Raw genomic sequence first — 19,474 nt, forward strand, 5'->3', positions numbered from 1 at the left:
TACAATTATAATAAGAAATAGAAGAGAATATTAAAAAACAATACTTTAATTTCTGCCTGTCTAAATAAAATAGCTGTCTGCTAGTGCTTCTGAAAATCTATATAAAAATTTCCCTATTAATGATGAGACATCTTCAATAGTTTAATTGGAAATAATTAAATTTCCCTAAGAAAAAGGACAGATTGAAATAGCCAAGTGCTGTAACGATCAAATTGGTAACCAATTAATTATTTTTTACATGTGCCCTGCTTCTTGTTTAAGTACCATCAGTAAGTTAACACAAAATTCAGTTAAGTTTTGTTTTTTTCACTCAATCAATTTCTACACAGCTTTTCTAGGTTGGGTATTGTGCTATTTGGTGTTGATAGAGTTATTAACAAGATAATCAAAGACTTACATTCTAGCAGCATTAATGAACTTTTACTATGTGCTCATTCATTGCAAAAAATGATCATACAGAATAAGTATTATTATCTCCATTTTACAATAAGGACATTTAGACTCAGGGAGAGGTTAAGTAATGTGTCTAATGCCTTGTGGTTTGTGAGAGTGGAGTTGAACCAAACCCCAAGTATCTCATCTTATCCCTCTGCTGCATGTAACTAGAACTGAATTCCATATGAAACAAGCTCTTCCTGAAAATTTAAGTCAGTGAGACTTTCTCACTGCTTAGTTTACTTTCTCTAATTTTTAATTGATATTTCCTCTTACAATATTCAAAAATTGGGTTTCATTATATATGTAGTCTCACTTCCAGTTTCTAATAATACTGTGTTTTTCTAACATGGAAGATTTTTTTTTCTAAAGCAATTGCTGACTTTTTGATAATGAGTCAACAGTGCCATCTTCTGTCTCTGTTCTCATCAGCCACTGGAAATAAAGCCTTAAAAGACTGGGTTAATGTAGATCAGGAACAGGAAGCAAGGAATCTGGAGAGTTTACAATCTTGGCAAAATGTACTACATCTTTGAACACTTGCAAAGAGACTAATTGTTTGAAAGGCTCGCAGGGCAGAGACGTGTTAAAAACAGTGCAGTGTGATTAGTTTCCTGAAACCTTTGAGTAGCCCTTCCAACAATGGAACCGAAGAAGGAGGAAGCAGGAGGGAGGAGACAATGACAGAAACAGGTGGCAAGAGGTTGTAATGATTTGGGACGCCGTAATTGATGGAATAAAATAAGCAACTCTCCTGTTTGTTCTACCAATTGTTTACACATTTCCTCCTGTCTTCACCTTTAGAGAAACATGACTGATCTTGGTAAGCACTTTTATCAAGCAAAAAAAAAATAAAAAGGAAAAGATACAAATGAAACAAAATATTAAGCCCTGAATTTTTTCCTTCTCTGCATGTGAAGCATAGTTATCAAAACTGAGGCATGTGAGAAAACTTAGATAAACATGAAAATCTTGCAGGATTGAACATGTAGCTGAGAAAACACTATTTTTTTTTTTTTTTGCAAATCTATCCTATTTTGGAAATGTATTTTTAGTCTCATCATACTTTCCAGCCATCTTGCAAAGTAAAAAAGATGAAAATTAAAAACTCAAAGGGTTTACCAGTACTTAGGTGAGTTCATTTGAGTATCTCCATTTCACAATGCTTATCTTTCATATACCTACGCTGGGTTTAAGCTTTCTGAATAGTAGCCACTTCGAGAAATATTTATGACGTTAATCATATTGCCCAGAATACAATTGTTCTTCTGAGGAATTTGAAGAAATGGTAGGAATCCCAAACAGATTTTCGAAGTTCTCTTAGACAAGGAACTCCAAACAGCAGCAAGGCAAAAGTATGAATGAAAGGTAGTTTTAATGCCTGTCTTTATAAGTGTGGCTTTTGTGAGGCTGCTGTTTTCCATAATTATTTTGCATACTTGAAGACGAAGCATGAACGGCAGCTACGAGTGGGCACAATACAATGTGTAACTGGAAAATTTTCTGTGTACCACCAAGGGAAAACTGCCACTTTACTTTTGCTGAATTATTGGCAATCTACTTCTTTGTGCCCATCTGCTTTTTTCAGCCTTTCATTAAAATAGTATTAGATGAGTTTTCTTACTATAAATTAGTGGTCAGTGCTGGACAAAGGGGATTGGAATTGGAGTTTTCTGAAATTTAACCAAACACCTTAACAAGATGTCTCCAAAAAAGCCAAGTATCTAAGGTTTGATGGGTTACCAGGCTTGCAAAGGATCTTCCATCTGTTTCTGAGGGCTTCACATGACAGTCCCTGACTTATGTTCCCTAACAGCCCACTCTATTTCACACTAGCCAGAGGTATTATACTTTAATTGTATCATATTAAACACACTCTAGAAAACCCAGAATTCCATGTTAATTCGTCAGTCAACACAAGAAACTTAGCTTCCTAAATTGGCATATCTATATTTAAAGATCATCAATGTCAACATTTTACTATTTCTCTAAGCAGGGCAGTTATCATGTAATTTCATAAGCATGAAGTAATAAAATTGATCTGAAAATGCATATACATATTTATTCTCCCTTTTACAAAACTAGAATGCTTTCTACAATTGTTTTTTAATAAAGTCATTTTCAAAATATACACAATGCAAATCATTATGGGGATCTTCCTTCTCTATTGCCTCCCTCTGGTTGTGGATAAAAACTGGTTTCCTGGGCAAGAGCAAAGGCAGAGACCAGGCTGAATCAAAGGAGCTGCAATTGCTATGAATTCTCCAAATCTCCTTACACAGATGCTCAGAAGGATGAGATTCTGCCATTTTGTACCCGAACATTCCTCCCAGCCTGTGATGCTGAAAGATTAAAGACTCCACGAGTACACACAACATGACTGATTGATTACACTGACTTCAGTGCAACTCACTGGGAGAAGCACGAGGCTTGAGCTTTAACCAGAAGCTCTCTCAAGCACATGGCAATCTTTCTATATCCAAGGGAGGCTTTCTTTTTAATTTCATAAACTCACTTTTATTTATGGCACAGACCCCTTCTAGACCCCTCCTCAGGACTTTTTACAAAGGGTGCCCATTAGACCACTTATATCATCTCCTCTAGTTGCTGTTTATTCTATTTGCATTTGTTTTTCTCATTTAACTGTAATCACCTTATGGTAAGGGTGTTGGTGGTGGTACAAGGAGTGGCATTGACACAACTCCAGCCTTAGGTGACACCTGACTTTTACTAACTTAATTTCCCTTGTGGTCTTACTTAATTCATCTTACTCCAGTGGTCAAAAGAATGATAAAATTTCCATAATTCTGCTTGTGTCCAATCTCTCTCTCTTTCTCTTCCTCTATCTCTCCCCCTCTCTCTCCCTCTCTTTCTCTTTCTTTTTTCTCTCCCCTGGGTCCATTTATTTCTCTTTTTAAAATCAGTAATTACCAAAGTACCTCTGAAATTTACTAATTAACTTCATTTCTGATAACTAAGCTTGATAACTTTTCTTCTTTCTATAAAATAAACTTATCCTCTGATACATACAACCCAATTAAATGTTGACTTTCTCAGTTGTAGAGCTATCGATTTCCTAAGATTAAAGTAGTCTTCCTCATTGAAATTTTAGAAAAGTCCAAGGCAATAATATGAGGACAAAGAGGGAGTTGCCATTGTCTGATTAAAGTCAACGGAATAGATAAATGTGTCAAAAAGAACAAGTGGCATAACGGATCATAAGTATAGCAAATCCACAACTTATTATGAATTGTCTGATGTACATAGTTTTGAACTTTTCTTTTAAATCTTTTTTAAATTAAGTCATTTAACTATGTATTTGAAGACAATGTTTCTCCACCTTTAAACTGCCTCAAAATCTTTCTAAGGACACCCACTAGGGACTTCTCTTAATGCATATACTGAGTTTTTTAAAGATGATATCTCTACCAGCAAGCAGACTGATGGCTTGCGTGTGTTAAATACTCTATTAGGTTATGGTGCATACATGCTGCATACATGTAATCCTAACAAAAAGCCTGTGAGGTATTAAAAGGTTTCTTTATGTACAAAGAAAAGATACTCCTGAGTATTATGATCCAGGCAGCGAGGCCAAGCTCTTTTCCAGTGTCTTCCAAAGAGGATGTAGCATGGTTGAAATTCAAGATCAGGTGTGTTCGCCCTGACTACCGTGTTCCCTCACATGAATAAAAATGATCTGTAGGGAGATACTAATTCTCCTTTTCAATAACCTTTTTCTTTAAACCATTTTTCTTTTTCAATAAACATAACTAACATAAGAGTGCTCGTAATCTTTCCTCAGAAATCGAGTTTATATTTTCCATTTATCCCTGCATTAACTAAGGTTTTAAAGGTAATGAATTCAGAATTTATTTGAATAACATAGTTTCAATAGAAGCACTAACAGCAGAAGCCCAGGGGCTTACAGACAACATAACCAGGTTGAACATTTCTCCTATCTTTTCTTCCGATTTATCACAAAATATTTACATATAATTAGTTTGTTGTATGTACATTTAATTATTGTGTCATGTGTTTTTACAGGTAATTTATTTATCTATGCATTAGTTTGCTCGGGCTTCCATGACAAAATATTGCAGACTGGGTGGCTTAACCAACAGGAATTTATAATTCTAGAGGCTGGAAGTCTGAGATGAAGGTGTTGGAAGGGCTGGTTTCTGCTGAGTCCCTCTCCTTGGTTTGCGGATGACTGTGCCGTTGCTGCCTCTTCTCATGGTTTTTCCTCTGTGCACACACACTTCTGATGTCTCTGTGTGTGTCCAAATCTCTTCTTGGGAGAACACCAGTCAGTTTGGTTTAGGGCCCTCCCTAGTAATCTCATTTTAACATAATTATCTCTTTAAAGGCCCTGCCTCTAAATACTGGCACATTCTCAGGTACTGGGGGATTATGGCTTCAACATATGAATTTTCAGGGGACACAATTTAGCCCATCACAGTCTGTATAATTGAAAAGCTATAGCACAGAATATTGAATTGCTATTTGTGTAAAGAAAAAAGGTCCCACTGTAGACATGGAAACAGTTCAAACAAAGGGGGACAGGAGTAGATAGGAGTGGATTAAAAGAAGATATGTTATTTTCTCATGGCAGAGAATATGTTGACTGCCTTAGAAACATAAACAAAATATGAGAAATATTTTATTCTAATACAACAATGAGCAAAACTGTACTTAAGCCAGACGGCTGGAATTAGGGATTCAGGAAATAAGCATTGCAATTATATGTCAATCAAGTGATAAACTTAAAACCCTGCAGTGTCAGTTAAGAAGAAAGATTATTAGATTTATCAAAACACCACAGTGGAATACAGGAAATATAGCCCAAATGACAAAGAGAATATTTGCAGGAACTAAGAATAATCATTTTAAAGGAAAATAGGTTGAAATTAAGTCAAGAATGTTGAACAATGATCATAATAAAAACAACTCTGAAAGCCTGTTAGAAACCTATTGCCTCTGGCTCCTTAGAATATTTAAGAATTTGATGTCCAGAAACAGTCATGGCCCTTTCAGGAATATAATGTCGGTTTATAATGAAATTTTCAAAAATTCATAAAAGATTCACAAGTCTAAAAAGAACAATGCAGATCCTCAGAGATTCTTACATTTAAATAAATGTAGAACATTTATGTATACTGCAGGACAGAACTTGACATATTATAAAGAATTTTCAAAGAGCAAATAATTAGTTTTGTCTTGAAAAATGTAAGATTTTAAAATGGTATGGTATCTTTAAAAATCTGATAGTTCACCTATAAAAAAATGTTGCTAGAAAAGATTGGTATCAGGGTGGGCACAACTTATAGGCAGGAGAATATTTTCTTATTTCTGGAAAAGAATCAGCATAGAAGGTGCTTTACATATTTCTTTAAATTCAAGATAAATGATACCAAATGTGGAACAGATGCTATTTTGGAGACAGGAATACATATGATATTAACAAAGAGAAATTAAACAGCAAAAGCAATTCATAAATAGTGACACATAAAGATGGGTACTACATTGCAAAATTCAAAGGAGTATGACGTGGAGAAATGAGAACTATAAATTGTCAGCCTCACAGGATTTGAATAGTCTTTTACATATATCAGAAAGAGAATTCAAGTTTTTATGTCATAAAATTCAGGGAACAGTTAGTTTGTTAACTCAGTGGCTTGATTGGGTATAGATACAGTCTTGGAAAATAACTCTCATGACAGTGCAGATTGAGGAGATGCTGGCAGCCAGAAACTATGTTATAGCACAGTGAAGAGTTTATGAGCATCTAAATAGAAAATTGGGCAGAGCCAATGGAGTGGAAGAGATGGATATATCTGACCCGCTAGAGTAGTGAGTGTCATGGTTATGAATGACACTCCAAGATGTGGAACATGGAAGAATTGCAGACAATTTTGTGATTTCTAACTGAGATGCTAAGCAGATGTTGATGCTATTAATCTAGGAAAGCAGGAAATAAATACAAAGTAAAGGGCAAGTCAGATTGCAAGACTGAAGAGAGGAGAAGCAGGAAAAAATATAATATGAAAATACAATATGAGTAAGGATTTGCACATAGTGAGCCTAAAGTTCTAGTTCAAATTGAGATAGAAAAGTCTAGGAGCTAATGAGAAAATGAGTATACTCATTATTACCATTTCCTTTCACACTTCTGATAGGATTATGCTTATCATATACTGTACATTATTTTTCTGATCCTGTTGGCCTTGCTCGTTGATAATCCTCTCATCTATATACCTCATCTCTCGCTTCTCATCTTCAGATAGCAAAAAATAAGTACAAAATACATACACACTTTTAGGTGAGGAAGTGTTTGTCAAATTAAATTAAAGAATTCGGCTTTCACTTTCTCATTGAAAAATACACTTCTATAAATGGAATGGCTTTAAGTATTTATTCATAGCTATGCATTCATCCTGCAATGCTTCAACTAGAAAAAAGGAAGAAGAAAATGAAAAGGGCCTAGGATATTAGTATCCTGTTGAAATAAAAGTAAAACTTCAATTTCTTTCCTGTCTAATGGAACACTTTTTGTCTCCAGTGAATGGCAGACCAGGCAGCCTTGTCATTGTAGAAGTAAAAGGGACGTGAGTGGCTTCAGCCTGGGATAGTGATGTAAAAGGAGATAATTAAAAAGAGAGATTTGATTATGTGAAACCAAAAAAAAATGCTCACTCTCTTAACATACTTTTTGTGCAAATGTGTTCCACTCCCTATGGGGACTGACTGAAATTAAACAGTGATTCTTTGGGAGCAAGGAGGATCTTCTACTTAAACAGAATCCTTATCAAGATCACCCCGGGATTTGACCGAGATGGTCAGGAACAGACCTTCATCAGAGAAGGTGTATAAAGACCAGTATGAAGTGCCCAGTGGAATCCGAACAGATGAATAACTCACTTAAAATATCTGTTAAAAGGAAACTTCCAGAATCTTGGGGGAAAAAAATCCCATTTAAATAGCTTTTAATCACCCCTGAGCATCCATGATATGCTTTCTCTGAGGAGCACAGGTATTTGGCCTCTCTGGGAGACTGCATTGCCTTCCTGGTAGAGTTTTTATTTTTTTATTTATTTTACTTATTTATTATTTCGTCTAGGTTTGGAGAGTCATCTTTAAATTTCTATGGAGATGTTATTCTCCCTTGCTGAGAAAAGATATTGAGAGTTACAGAAACTGATGTTATACTGTCGATTTGGAAGCAAGTATGTTCAAAAATATGCATTTGATATTCTGGAAGGTATGACTTGAGGAAGCTTCAGGGGTCTTAACTTCACATTTGCACCAATATTTTGAGCAGAGGAGGAGAAAGAAACAAAATAGAACCAGTATTCTTACCCCAACCAGTATTATTCAGTAGAACCTGAGTAACTCACTGTGAAATTCTATTGGGAGGACTGGACTTGGCTGCTTCAAAAAGGAAAATCATGGAGTCAGATAGATGGGATAAACAAGTTGTGTGAGACAAACAGACATGATTGCATGGTCCCTAGTAAAGAGAACTCTAGTGAATTTGCTGCTACAAACAAAAAGAGACAGAGAAAAATTATTTCCTTTATATTTCAGTCAATAACTACTCCATCAACCAAAAAGCCCACAGCTTTTGCTGCAAACCTCAGTGACATGTTGACCTTCAGCTTCTCCCACTGGGATGCACAATAATTTTTGTTTGAAAAATTGACTTTCCCATGATGAAAGAAAAGTGAGAAAAGAATTGTTTTATTCACCTGAGCAAAACCAGCATAACATTTCAGACCTTTGTCTTTTTTGTGAAACTCACCACTCCATTAAGATTGATCATGTCTATGAGGCTAAAAGTTATAGTCAAGAGCTTCTAATTTATGAAAAGAATAGCAGACCTTTCTTTTTAAAGTGATCATTTTCAACACGAACTAAATTTAAAATAGTATGTATTTGGATTTGGTAACTTATTATTCTTACTTTTGTATTTAAAATATCCTGTAAATTACTAAACTCTATAACATGCATATCATCAGTAACTAAATTGTTTTGAAATTCTGGCATCAGTTTAGAAGAAATTTCTGCATTTATAGGAGGTGTTAACATCTGTAAAGTTTAAAAATAAATATAACTCAAGATTTCATACTAAAAAATGTATTTTCAAAATTTACATTTTTTTAAAATAACTCGTGACAGTTTTTTTACAGAACTTGGTAATTTTGCTTCTACCACATCTCCAGGCTCACTTTGCATCCAGCACCTTCCTTGATCACCAGTCAAACTTTCATCTTTCTGTTTCTGGAGTTCACCAAGCTCTTTCCCAATTGAGGTTACTTATATATGTATATGTTTTGCCTGGGCTATTCTTCACCACACTGTTCATGTGGCTAATTCTTTTATTATCTTTAAAGGTCACCTTAAATGACAGGAATGTGTTACCTTTCCTGGCTCCAAATCCAAAATTAGGTCTTATCCCTTTATTACATTTACCCATAGATTTTCTTGATAGCACAGGGAAATAGAGTTTTATTCATCCTTGTATCCCCAGCACCTATCATATTATATAGTAGGCACCCAGGAAATATTCATTGCATGAATTAAGTAGAGATGGTCTGTGCTTTCAAAGAACTTTCAGTCTTCATAATGAATATAAATAATAAAAATATTAAATTAAATTGCATTATAAATGTTATATTAGGAAATACATATAGGATGCTTTCTAACCTGTACTTAGAGTAAAATTCAAAGTGGAATCTAAAGGATAAATATGAATCAACCAAAAAAGAAGGGTAGGTTTTCATCTACTTGTATCTAATAGATACATTTTTGTATTGAAAAAAATGTTTCAGGTAGATATATTTTATCCAAAATTGCTTCAGGCAAATAGAGATACAAAGGGCCAATGGAGAATTATCTCAACATGGTTAAGCCTAGTGGACATCACTGTCCTGCCTAAGATAAAGACTGTCACTGAAGACCCTGCTTATCTTTAACATTGTCCATTTTGTAGTGCCATCAGGAGGTATTAAAGAAAACCCTCAGGGTACAGAGTAACAACAACCATATATGCTTGTACCAGCTACTTCTTGTCAGTAACTAAAAGAAAAATATTGTATATTGTTTTATAGAGTGCTTAAATGACATTTACCTACACAAATATCAAATTGCAAACACTTTGTGCTTCAAAACTTATTTATAAGTTTTGTTTATATATTATTTATAACCTCGGTATGATTTAAACCATATAACAAAATAGCAAGAGAGGAAAAGAGAACTACAAAAGAACTGCAAGACAGACAGAAAATAATGAACAAAATGGAAATAGTAAGTCCTTCCATTGGAGGAACACATAGACTGAAAGTGAAGGTATGGAAAAGATGTCTCATGCAAACGGTTACCTAAACAGAGAAGAAGTAGCTGTCCTTAGACAAAATCAACATTAAATCAAAAACTGTCACAGGAGACAAGTACATTATGTAATGACTAGAGGGTCAATCACTCCAGAAAATACAACAATTAAAAATATATATGCACAGAACATCAGAGTGCCTAATATCTAGAGCAAACTTTGACAGACCTGAAGAAATAAATAGGCATTAATACCAGAATATTTGGACACTTCAATACCCCACTTCCAATAAGGGATAGAAAGTCCAGAAATAAAGTCAATAAGGAAATAACAGGCTTGAACAATACTATAGACCAGGGACCCCCAATCCCTGGGCCACAGACCAGTGTTGGTCCATGTCCTGTTAGGAACTGGGCCACACTGCAGGAGGTGAGCTGTGGGACAGGTAGCATTACAGCCTGAGCTCTGCCTCTGTCAGATCAGCAGTGGCATTAGATTCTCACAGGGAATGAACCATATTGTGAACTGCACATGGTAGGGATCTAGGTTCTGTACTTCTCGTGAGAATCAGAAACCACCCCCGACCCTCCCTTCGCATGGAAAAGCTGTCTTACATGAAACCAGTCTCTGGTCCAAAAAGGCTGGGCACTGCTACTGTAAACCCAATGAAACTAATAGACATATAGAGAACATTCCACCCAACAGCAACAGAATATACATTCTTCCAACGTGCACATGGAAAATTTTCCAGGATACATCAAATGATAGGTCACAAAAACAACCCTTAGCAAATTTAAGAACATTGAAATCTTACTAAGTACCTTTTCTGACTACAATAGAATTAAACTACAAATAAATATCAGAAGAAAAGCCAGAAAAGTCACAAATATTTGGGAAATTTAAAAACACACTTTTGAGTAACCAATTGGTAAAAGAAAATCAAAAGTGCTATTAGAAACTATTTTCAGCAAACAAAAATATAAGCACAACATAGCAAAACTTATGGTACACAACAAAAGCAGTACTGGGAGAACATTTTATAGCAATAAATGTGTACAATAATACAGAATAAAGACCTCAATAAACAACCTAACTTTCCATCTCAACAAACTAGAAATAGAAGAACAAGCTAAGCTCAAAAGTAGCAGAAGAAAGTAAATAATAAATGTTAGAGGAGCAATAAGCGAAATAGAGACTAGGAAAAAATAGAAAAAAATAGTGAAACTAAAAATTGTAATTTTAAAAAGATCCAAAAATTGACAAACCATTAGCTAAACTAAGAAAAAAGAGAGAATGCTCAGATAAATAAGATCAGAAATGAAAGAGGAACCATTATAAATGATGCCAAAGAAATACAAAGGGTAAGAAAAGACTTAATGAATAATTATACACCAACAAACCAGATAATCTAGAGAAAATAGATAATCCCTATAAATATACAACTTATCACAACTGAACCATGAAAAAAACAGAATATCTGAAAAGGCCTATAACTATAACAAAATTCAATCTGTAAGTACAACCTCTCACAAAGAAAAGCCCGGGAAGAGATGGCTGCAATGTAGAAATCTACAAAGCATTTAAAGACTTAATGTCAATCATTTTCAATTTCTTCAAAAAAGATTCAAGAGAAAACATTTACAAATTTATTTTATGAGTCCAGCATTACTTTGATTCTAAAGTCAGACAAAGACACTTCAAGGAAAGAAAGCTACAGGCAAATATGCCTGATGAATGTAGATGCACAAACCCTCAACAAAATACTAGCAAACTTAATTTAACAGCACATTGAAACAATCATACACAATGACCAAGTGATATTTATCTCTGGGATCCAAGGATGGATCAATATACACAAATCAATAATGTGATTTACTACATTAACAGACTGAGGAATAAAAATCATATCCTTTAGTCAATAGATGCAGAAAAAGAATTTGACAAAATTCAACAATCACTCATGGTGAAAACCAAATCAGATATAGAAGGAACGTGCCCTAACTTCATAAAGGCCCATATCTGACAAGCCCACAGTTAACATCATACTCAGTGATAAAAAAACAAAAACTTTTCCTGTAAGATCAAGAGCAAGACAAGGATGCCCAGTCTCGCCACTTTTATTCAACATAGTACAGGAAGTCCTGGTTGGAATAATTAGGCAAGAAAAAGAAACAACAGACACCCAAATCAGGAAGAAACAAGCAAAATTATCTCTGTTTACAGATGACAGGAATTCATATGTAGAAAACCATAAAGAATTTCCCCCAAAAAACCCTATTAGAACTAATAAGCAAATTCAGTAAAATTGCAGAATACAAAATCCACATATGAAATAATCAGTTGCATTTCTATACACTAATAATGAACTATCCAAAAGAAAATTTTTTAAAAAATCTCATTTACAATGGAATCAAAAAGAAAAAGATAGGAATTAACTTATCTAGGGAGATAAAAGACATACATTGGAAAATAAACATTGATGAAAGAAATTAAAGAAGACACAAATAAATTGAAAGCCATCTTGTGTTTATGGATTACAAGAATTAATATTGTTTGAATGTTCATACTACACAAAGGAATCTACAGATTCAATGAAATTCTTACCAAAATCCCAATGGCATTTTTTACAGATATGGAAAAATCAATTCTAAATTTATTTGGAATGACAAAAGACCTCAAGCAGTCAAAACAATCTTGAGAAAGTAGAAGAAAACTGAAGGCAACACACTTCCAAATTTCAAAATGTGTTACAAAACTATGATAATTAAAATAGTATTGTGCTGGCATAAAGACAGACATACATTCAAGTGGAATAGAATAGAAAAACTAATGCATTTTTAAAAATTAATTGATTATGGACAATAGTGCCAAGAATACACAATAGAGAAAATATAGTCTCCTCAACAAATGGTTTTGGAATAACTGGATATCTACTTGCAAAGAATGAAATTAGACCCTTATCTTACTCCATACACAAAATCAACTCAAAATGGACTGAAGACCTAAAGATAAGACCTGAAACTATAGAACTCCTAAAAGAAAAGCATAAGGGGCCGGTGCGGTGGCTCACGCCTGTAATCCCAGCGGGAGGCTGAGGCAGGAGGATCACAAGGTGAGGAGATCGAGACCATCCTGGCTATCAAGGTGAAACCCCATCTCTAATAAAAATACAAAAAAATTAGCCGGACGTGGTGGCAGGCGCTTGTAGTCCCAGCTACTCAGAAAGCTGAGGCAGGAGAATGGCGTGAACCGGGGAGGTGGAGATTGCAGTGAGCCGAGATCACGCCACTGCACTCCAGCCTGGGCGACAGAGCAAGACTCCGTCTCAAAAAAAAAAAAAAAAAAAAAGGAAAAAGAAAAACAAGGAAAAAGCTCCGTGACATTGGTTTTGGCAATGACTTCTTGGCTATGACACCAAAAGCATAGGCAACGAAAGCAAAAACAAACAATGGAACTACATCAAGCTAAAACATTTCTCCATAGCAAAGAAAACAATTAGCAGAGTGAAGAAACAACCTATGGAATAGGAGAATTTGCAAGCCATGCATATGAAAAGTGGTATATCCAAAATATATAAGAAATTCATTCAACTTCATAGCAATAAAACAAATAACCCAACTGAAAAATGAGGGAAGGACATGAATAGATCTCTCTCCAAAGAACATATACAAAGACCAACAGGTGTGTGGAAAGGTGCTAATATCACAAATTATCAGTGAAATGCAAATCCAAATTGCGATGATATATCACCTCACACCTATCAGAATGACTATTATCAAGAAAAAAAACACAAGACAATAAGGGTTGATGAAGATGTGGAGAAATTGGAATCTTTTTACACTCTTGGTAGAAGTGTGAAACGTTACTATGAAAACAGAACGGAGTTTCCTAAAAGAATGTATTAGAATTGAATTACCATATGATCCATCAATCTCACTGTAGGGATTGTATATCCCAAATTGATATCCAGAAGAATTGTAATTAGGATATCAAAGAGATACTTGTACCCCGATGTTTGTTCCATTTACAATAGCCAAGATGTGGAAACAACCTAAATGTCCATCAAAGGATAAATGGATAAAGAAATGTGGTATATACACACAATGGAATATTATTCAACCTTACAAAAGGAAGAAATGCTGCAATATGCAACAACGTTGAAGCTAAGTGAAATAAGTCTGTCACAAGAAGATCAATACTGCATGATTCCAATTCTATAAGGTATCTAAAATAGCAAAACATAGAAGCAGAGAATAGAATAGAATGGTGGTTGCCAGGGCCAGGGGATAGGGACAAATGGGAAACTGCTATTCGATGGGTATTAAGTTTCAGTTATGCAAAATGACTGAGTTCTTCAAATCTGCTGTATAACATTGTGCCTGTGGTAACAATACTGTGTTCTACACTTAAGATTTTGTTGAGAGTAGGTCTTGTTTTAAGTGTTCCCAAGCATAATTTTAAAAGAAAGAAAGATGGCATCCATCAATCTCCAAAGTCTATCCTTCCACTTAGTGATCTAAAAGAAAGATGGATTGTATTCGCCACGATTGAAGCAGAAAAGTGTACAGGAAGATTTTAGTTAGCCTAACTGGATCCTTGTGCCCAATCTCTAAGCAATCATTTTTTCCATAGAGATACAATGTTATATGGGACAAGCCTAGGCCTCAACCCAATCTTGCTGCCAAGAAAAGTGAAGCATGAAAACTGACATTTCATCAGGTCCACAAGTGAAAACTATTGGAAAGGTTCAGATAAAGAGGGATGAAGAATCTATAGCCTCCACTATTTATTTATTTATTTTTTATTCATTTATTTTTTTGAGACAGAGTCTTACTCTGTCGCCCAGGCTGGAGTGCAGTGACGCGACCTCGGCTCACTGCAAGCTCCGCCTCCCAGGTTCACGCCATTCTCCTGCCTCAGCCTCCCGAGTAGCTGGGGCTACAGGAGCCCGCCGCCACGCCCGGCTTTTTTGTATTTTTAGTACACACAGGGTTTCACCGTGTTAGCCAGGATGGTCTTGATCTCCTGACCTCGGGATCCGCCCACCTCAGCCTCCCAAAGTGCTGAGATTACAGGCGTGAGCCACCGCGCCCGGCCGCCTCCACTATTTATTAGACTTCAGTTGGAATTGCCAGAAATAACTAAATAAATGCCAATGTGTGCAACCAACACCATTAGAATTAGAAAAAGAAAATGAAAAAATTGGATTGGATAGAGAAAATTTTCATTTATTTTTACAGTCAGATGAGTATGAAGCACTGAAAATCCAGAGGCACAAGTAAGAAGTAAAAAGAAAATTCAGGAGTTCAGAAAGGTACAAGAAGGCTGTTCAGTGTTGCCTATGTTGAAATACTGTCTCCAATTTTGGCAACAAGTAAAATGCTGATGGTTTTTATGAAATATCTTTATTAATTTTGTAGCCATAAACTTCATCTTTTCATAATTAAATCTAGTATTCCCACCCCTGTGGTCATACATCTCCTGGGAAACTAGTATATTCCTCAACAAATTCCAATCCTATATTAAGAAAAGTAAAAAGCAAAGAAGGAAAATAAAGATATGCATATGTAACTATCTCAAATTTCATCTTCTGGCTGTCCTCTTTCCTAAGCATCTTCTAAAGTGTTATGGATTTAATGTCTCTTTTTAAGAGGTCTTTAAAACAGAATGAAACTTTAAAGCTCAATTTTGTGCCTTCTTGAAGCATAAAAATAATAAGCAGTTTTGCAAAAACACAGACTATGCTAGTTTTTATTTTTCTCTAAAGCATGTGGTAGAAAGAACCAACTTTCTTTGGAAATAAATGTTATATTTTGTTCCTTCATTTGTCAGCATGGTTTAGTGATTGTTTCGTTCAGGTTGTATGGGAAATCTCAAGGTGAGTTATCTCCAATCAAAGAAGTTGAAGTGACCTAAGCAAGAAAGCACATTTTGTGCCTTACAGTATACTCACTTGTCTCTTTAGGGAACTAACTACTCATTTCCTTGTGTTCTCAAAACGTGGCCATTTAAAGAAACTTAATTATAATAATTTTGTAAACATTTCCTTCCTCATGTACTCATTAACTTAGATGGAATTGAAACTTTTTATAGATACCACTATGACTAGAGTCACACATATTACACATAAGTAATTACAAAGTTAAAGTTAGAACAAAAATAATATATTTATGACCACTTCATTTGCTGGTTAATTAGTGGAATTTGGAATCAGGTCAGGCTACAGAGCAATGGTGTACTAGCTAAATTTTTTAAAAATAGTGTTTGAATTTCTTCAGATTCTAGAATTTTTTTATTTGTTTTAAGAGTGTTTAATGTGCAGGAACTATCTCATGTATTCCAGTCACTATTGCTTCAAAGAAAAAGAAAAGTATCTGCATTGATGGTCAAAACCAAAATTTTAAAAATAGAAGAAAAAATATATAAAATTGCTTGAGTGAGGGTACAATAGAATTAATAGATTAATGAATGAACTAAAAACTACATTAATATATTAATATGTAAAATGAATCTATCTGTTAGCCCATTGTTAAAAAATGATTTTCTTCCTTTCGATTCTCTTCTTCCAGATTCTTTGTCTTTTTCTATGGACCAATTGTCATCTTTCCTAACAGAAGACTACGCATCCCTGTGATACCTCTCAGATGACAACAAAGTTCTGTAAGGTTTCTTGTGTGGAAATGACAGGACACATCCTCAAATCCTGCCAGCATTTGTTTAGTAAGAGTGCTGGATCATTTGAGGGTTACTTTTAAATTTCCTGAGCCAATGGTCCTCCTAAGCCAACTATTCATTCTGTGTAATGGCTGATGAAATTAACAAGGGACAAACCAAATCCCAATTGCCTATAGAGCGGTACATCAAAGATATGCATATCCAAAACATAGATAAAATCATATATACTATCTTGTAGTGTGGTTTTTGTCTGGAGATGTTTTCATTTTTTACTCTTTCTAGACCAATAAGCCACACAGAATGATTTACATTAGTGTTGATGGGCCAGATGGTTTTGAACAACATTGATACCATTTAATAGGCATAAGATATACTTTAGGTTTTATTTAATGTTTATGTCATCTTTATGTAACTATATTAGGGTAAATAAATGATAAATGCTTACAATTTTCAAGTAAATAGTAAAATAGTCAATAGTTCTTGGATATGCAATTGCAGTATTCCACAGTCAACAGAATCAGTATTAAAACCAGCTTAACTTCTATGACAAGCAAATATAAGTACCCTAGAAATATGTTGGCTTTCATAATGAAGCTATATTAATATACAACATTGAATGTATATTCTACAAATTGAAATTTTTAAAGAAATAAGCTGGCTGCATTTATAGATCTCCTAGGAGACTTCCACTCCATGTGACCTTAGAGATCATCATTTTTATCATTTTACAGTGTAGCTTACCATCACATTTTAAAGCGCATTTACCATCACATTTAATTTAATAAGAATAGTGTCTTTAAGTTGGATTTAATTATCCCAATGTTTCAAGTGATAAAATTGGGGATCTGAATTTTAAATAATTTGTTTCAGGACACAAAGATACAAAGTGGCATGAGCCATGATTTAAACACAAGTGTGTTGTAGGAGACTGCATCGCACAAGGCGCTAAAGTGACCTGCATAATTTTTTTTCTTTTTTTATATGGAGTCTCGTTCTGTCACCCAGGCTGGCGTGCAATAGTTCAATCTCGGCTCACTGCAACCTCCGCCTCCCAGGTTCAAGCGGTTCTCCTGCCTAAGCCTCCAGAGTAGCTGGGATTACAGGCACGCACAACCATGCCCGAGTAATTTTTGTATTTATTTTATTTTATTTTTTTTAGTAGAGACGAGGTTTTCCCACGTTGGTCAGATAGGTCTCAAACTCCTGACTTCAGGTGATCCGCCTGCCTCGGCCTCGGAAAGTGCTGGGATTACGGGGGTGAGCCACTGCGCCCGGCCCCTGCATTAATTTTTTAGGCATTCACTCCACAAAGGGCTCACTGGCATTTTTCACAACACTGATTTGTTTTCTTGCAAAGATGTAGACATTCCTTTCTGCCACACATCTATGGTCTACAATAAGAACCCAGTGTTTCTCCAGCATGGATAGAGTGAGGCTTGTAATTTCCTCTGTGAAGCAACTTAGCTGATGTGGAGGAATGGTTCTCAGCATACACTTGATTATTTTTCTTCATTTTCAAAGTCAAGCATATCTTTTGCAAAATGCTGCAGGCTTTTTGTTTGTTTGTTTGTTGTTTGTTTTGCTTTTTACTCTTGCCACAACACAAATGTTTTACTCCTTTTCTAACACAAATTTTCATTACCTACATCCAATGTACTGAAAGGCTTAAAAATGAAACACTGTCTAAGCCTTTGAGATATAAAATTGAATTAGATTTACACTACACAAAGCTGTCTCTCTATAGTCCACATAATCTCTCCCATCTCAAAAATTACATTGCTAATATATATGAACTGAAAGAGAAGCCAATTCAGGAAGGAGCTGATTCAAGAAGTGCAAAGAGATAATCCCATTACAATGAGTTTTCAACTCAATTAAATAAGGCTCAAGAGACTGGGCAAATTATTGGGGCTATTCATATCATTTCATTAGAGCAAAATTTCACTGTAATGAAAAGAGAAGTTATTAGCTAGACCTTGAAAAGGCAATTCAAGATTATTTTTCTAATGTGATTTGACTTGTTTATAAGTATTTCTTAAAGCTAGTTTTATCTGTCATAGCTTATTATAAGAGGTTTCATTATTGTTTTTCAAGAAATGCCAAATTGCTAAATCTCAATGGGGAGCTTCATGTGTATATGTCTGAAGAGCAAAGACTACATGCATTTTTATTTGTATGTATGTTAATAAACACCATTTTCTGAAAAATTACAGTTCAATAGACTATTCATAAAACATCAAAATTTTATCTCAGTGAATAAAATACTAAGTATTCAAATTATTATACTTTATTCCAAAATTTCAACTAACAAAGATTTTCTGTTTATTAGCATTCTTACTGATATGTATCTATTCGAGATGAAATTTGGGAAGAGGGAGGGAGCTGGTCGGAGGTGATAGGATCATGGGGTTGGTTTCCCCATGCTTTTCTTGTGATAGTGCGTGAGTTCTCACAAGAGCCGATGGCTTAAAAGTGTGTCACTTCCAATCTCTCTCTCTCTTGTGCATGCATGCATGCACACGTTCTCTCCTGCCACCTTAGGAAGAAAGTTCTTGCTTTCCCTTCACCTTCCACCATGATTGTAAGTTTCCTAAGGCCTCCCAAGCCATGGAGAACTGTGAGTCAATTAAACATTGTTCCTTTATAAATTATCCCATCTTAGAAGACACCCTGTCATCCCATGTGAATGGAATTTATGCTCCTCCTTCTCTGTAGGCTGGGTCTTTGATTTGTCTGGCTTCCTTGGATGCAAATCCAGGACAGTCTGCCATCAACCCTGACATTGGGATGGACTATAAAACAGTCTCTCTCCACAATTAATTCCAGTGTTCCAACATCACAAACTGGAGAATGACTATAGTAGCCTGATATTTTTCCTCCTATGTGTATTCATTCCCTACAAATATTGATATCTTCTAAATAAACCGTAAAATTCTTTATATATAGCACATATATGACCCTTAGAAGTGTTTATTACAAGAACTTAGGTGGAAGAGTGTGTATCAGTTTGTGCTAGCTGTTCCCACGTAGCAGCTC

General features: G+C 35.1%; 1 long non-coding RNA gene across 1 annotated transcript in view; it reads left to right on the plus strand.

Moving 5' to 3' along the window:
* The window catches only part of LINC01692 (long intergenic non-protein coding RNA 1692), a 217,197-nt gene extending 198,552 nt beyond the window's left edge, over positions 1-18,645 (plus strand). Inside the window, exon 4 of the long non-coding RNA NR_046198.3 lies at positions 16,333-18,645. This is a non-coding gene — a long non-coding RNA (long intergenic non-protein coding RNA 1692). The remainder of the gene's footprint in view (positions 1-16,332) is intronic.
* Positions 18,646-19,474: the final 829 nt, after the last annotated feature.

The sequence above is a fragment of the Homo sapiens genome, chromosome 21, assembly GCF_000001405.40.
Source record: "Homo sapiens chromosome 21, GRCh38.p14 Primary Assembly".
Lineage (NCBI taxonomy): Eukaryota > Metazoa > Chordata > Mammalia > Primates > Hominidae > Homo > Homo sapiens.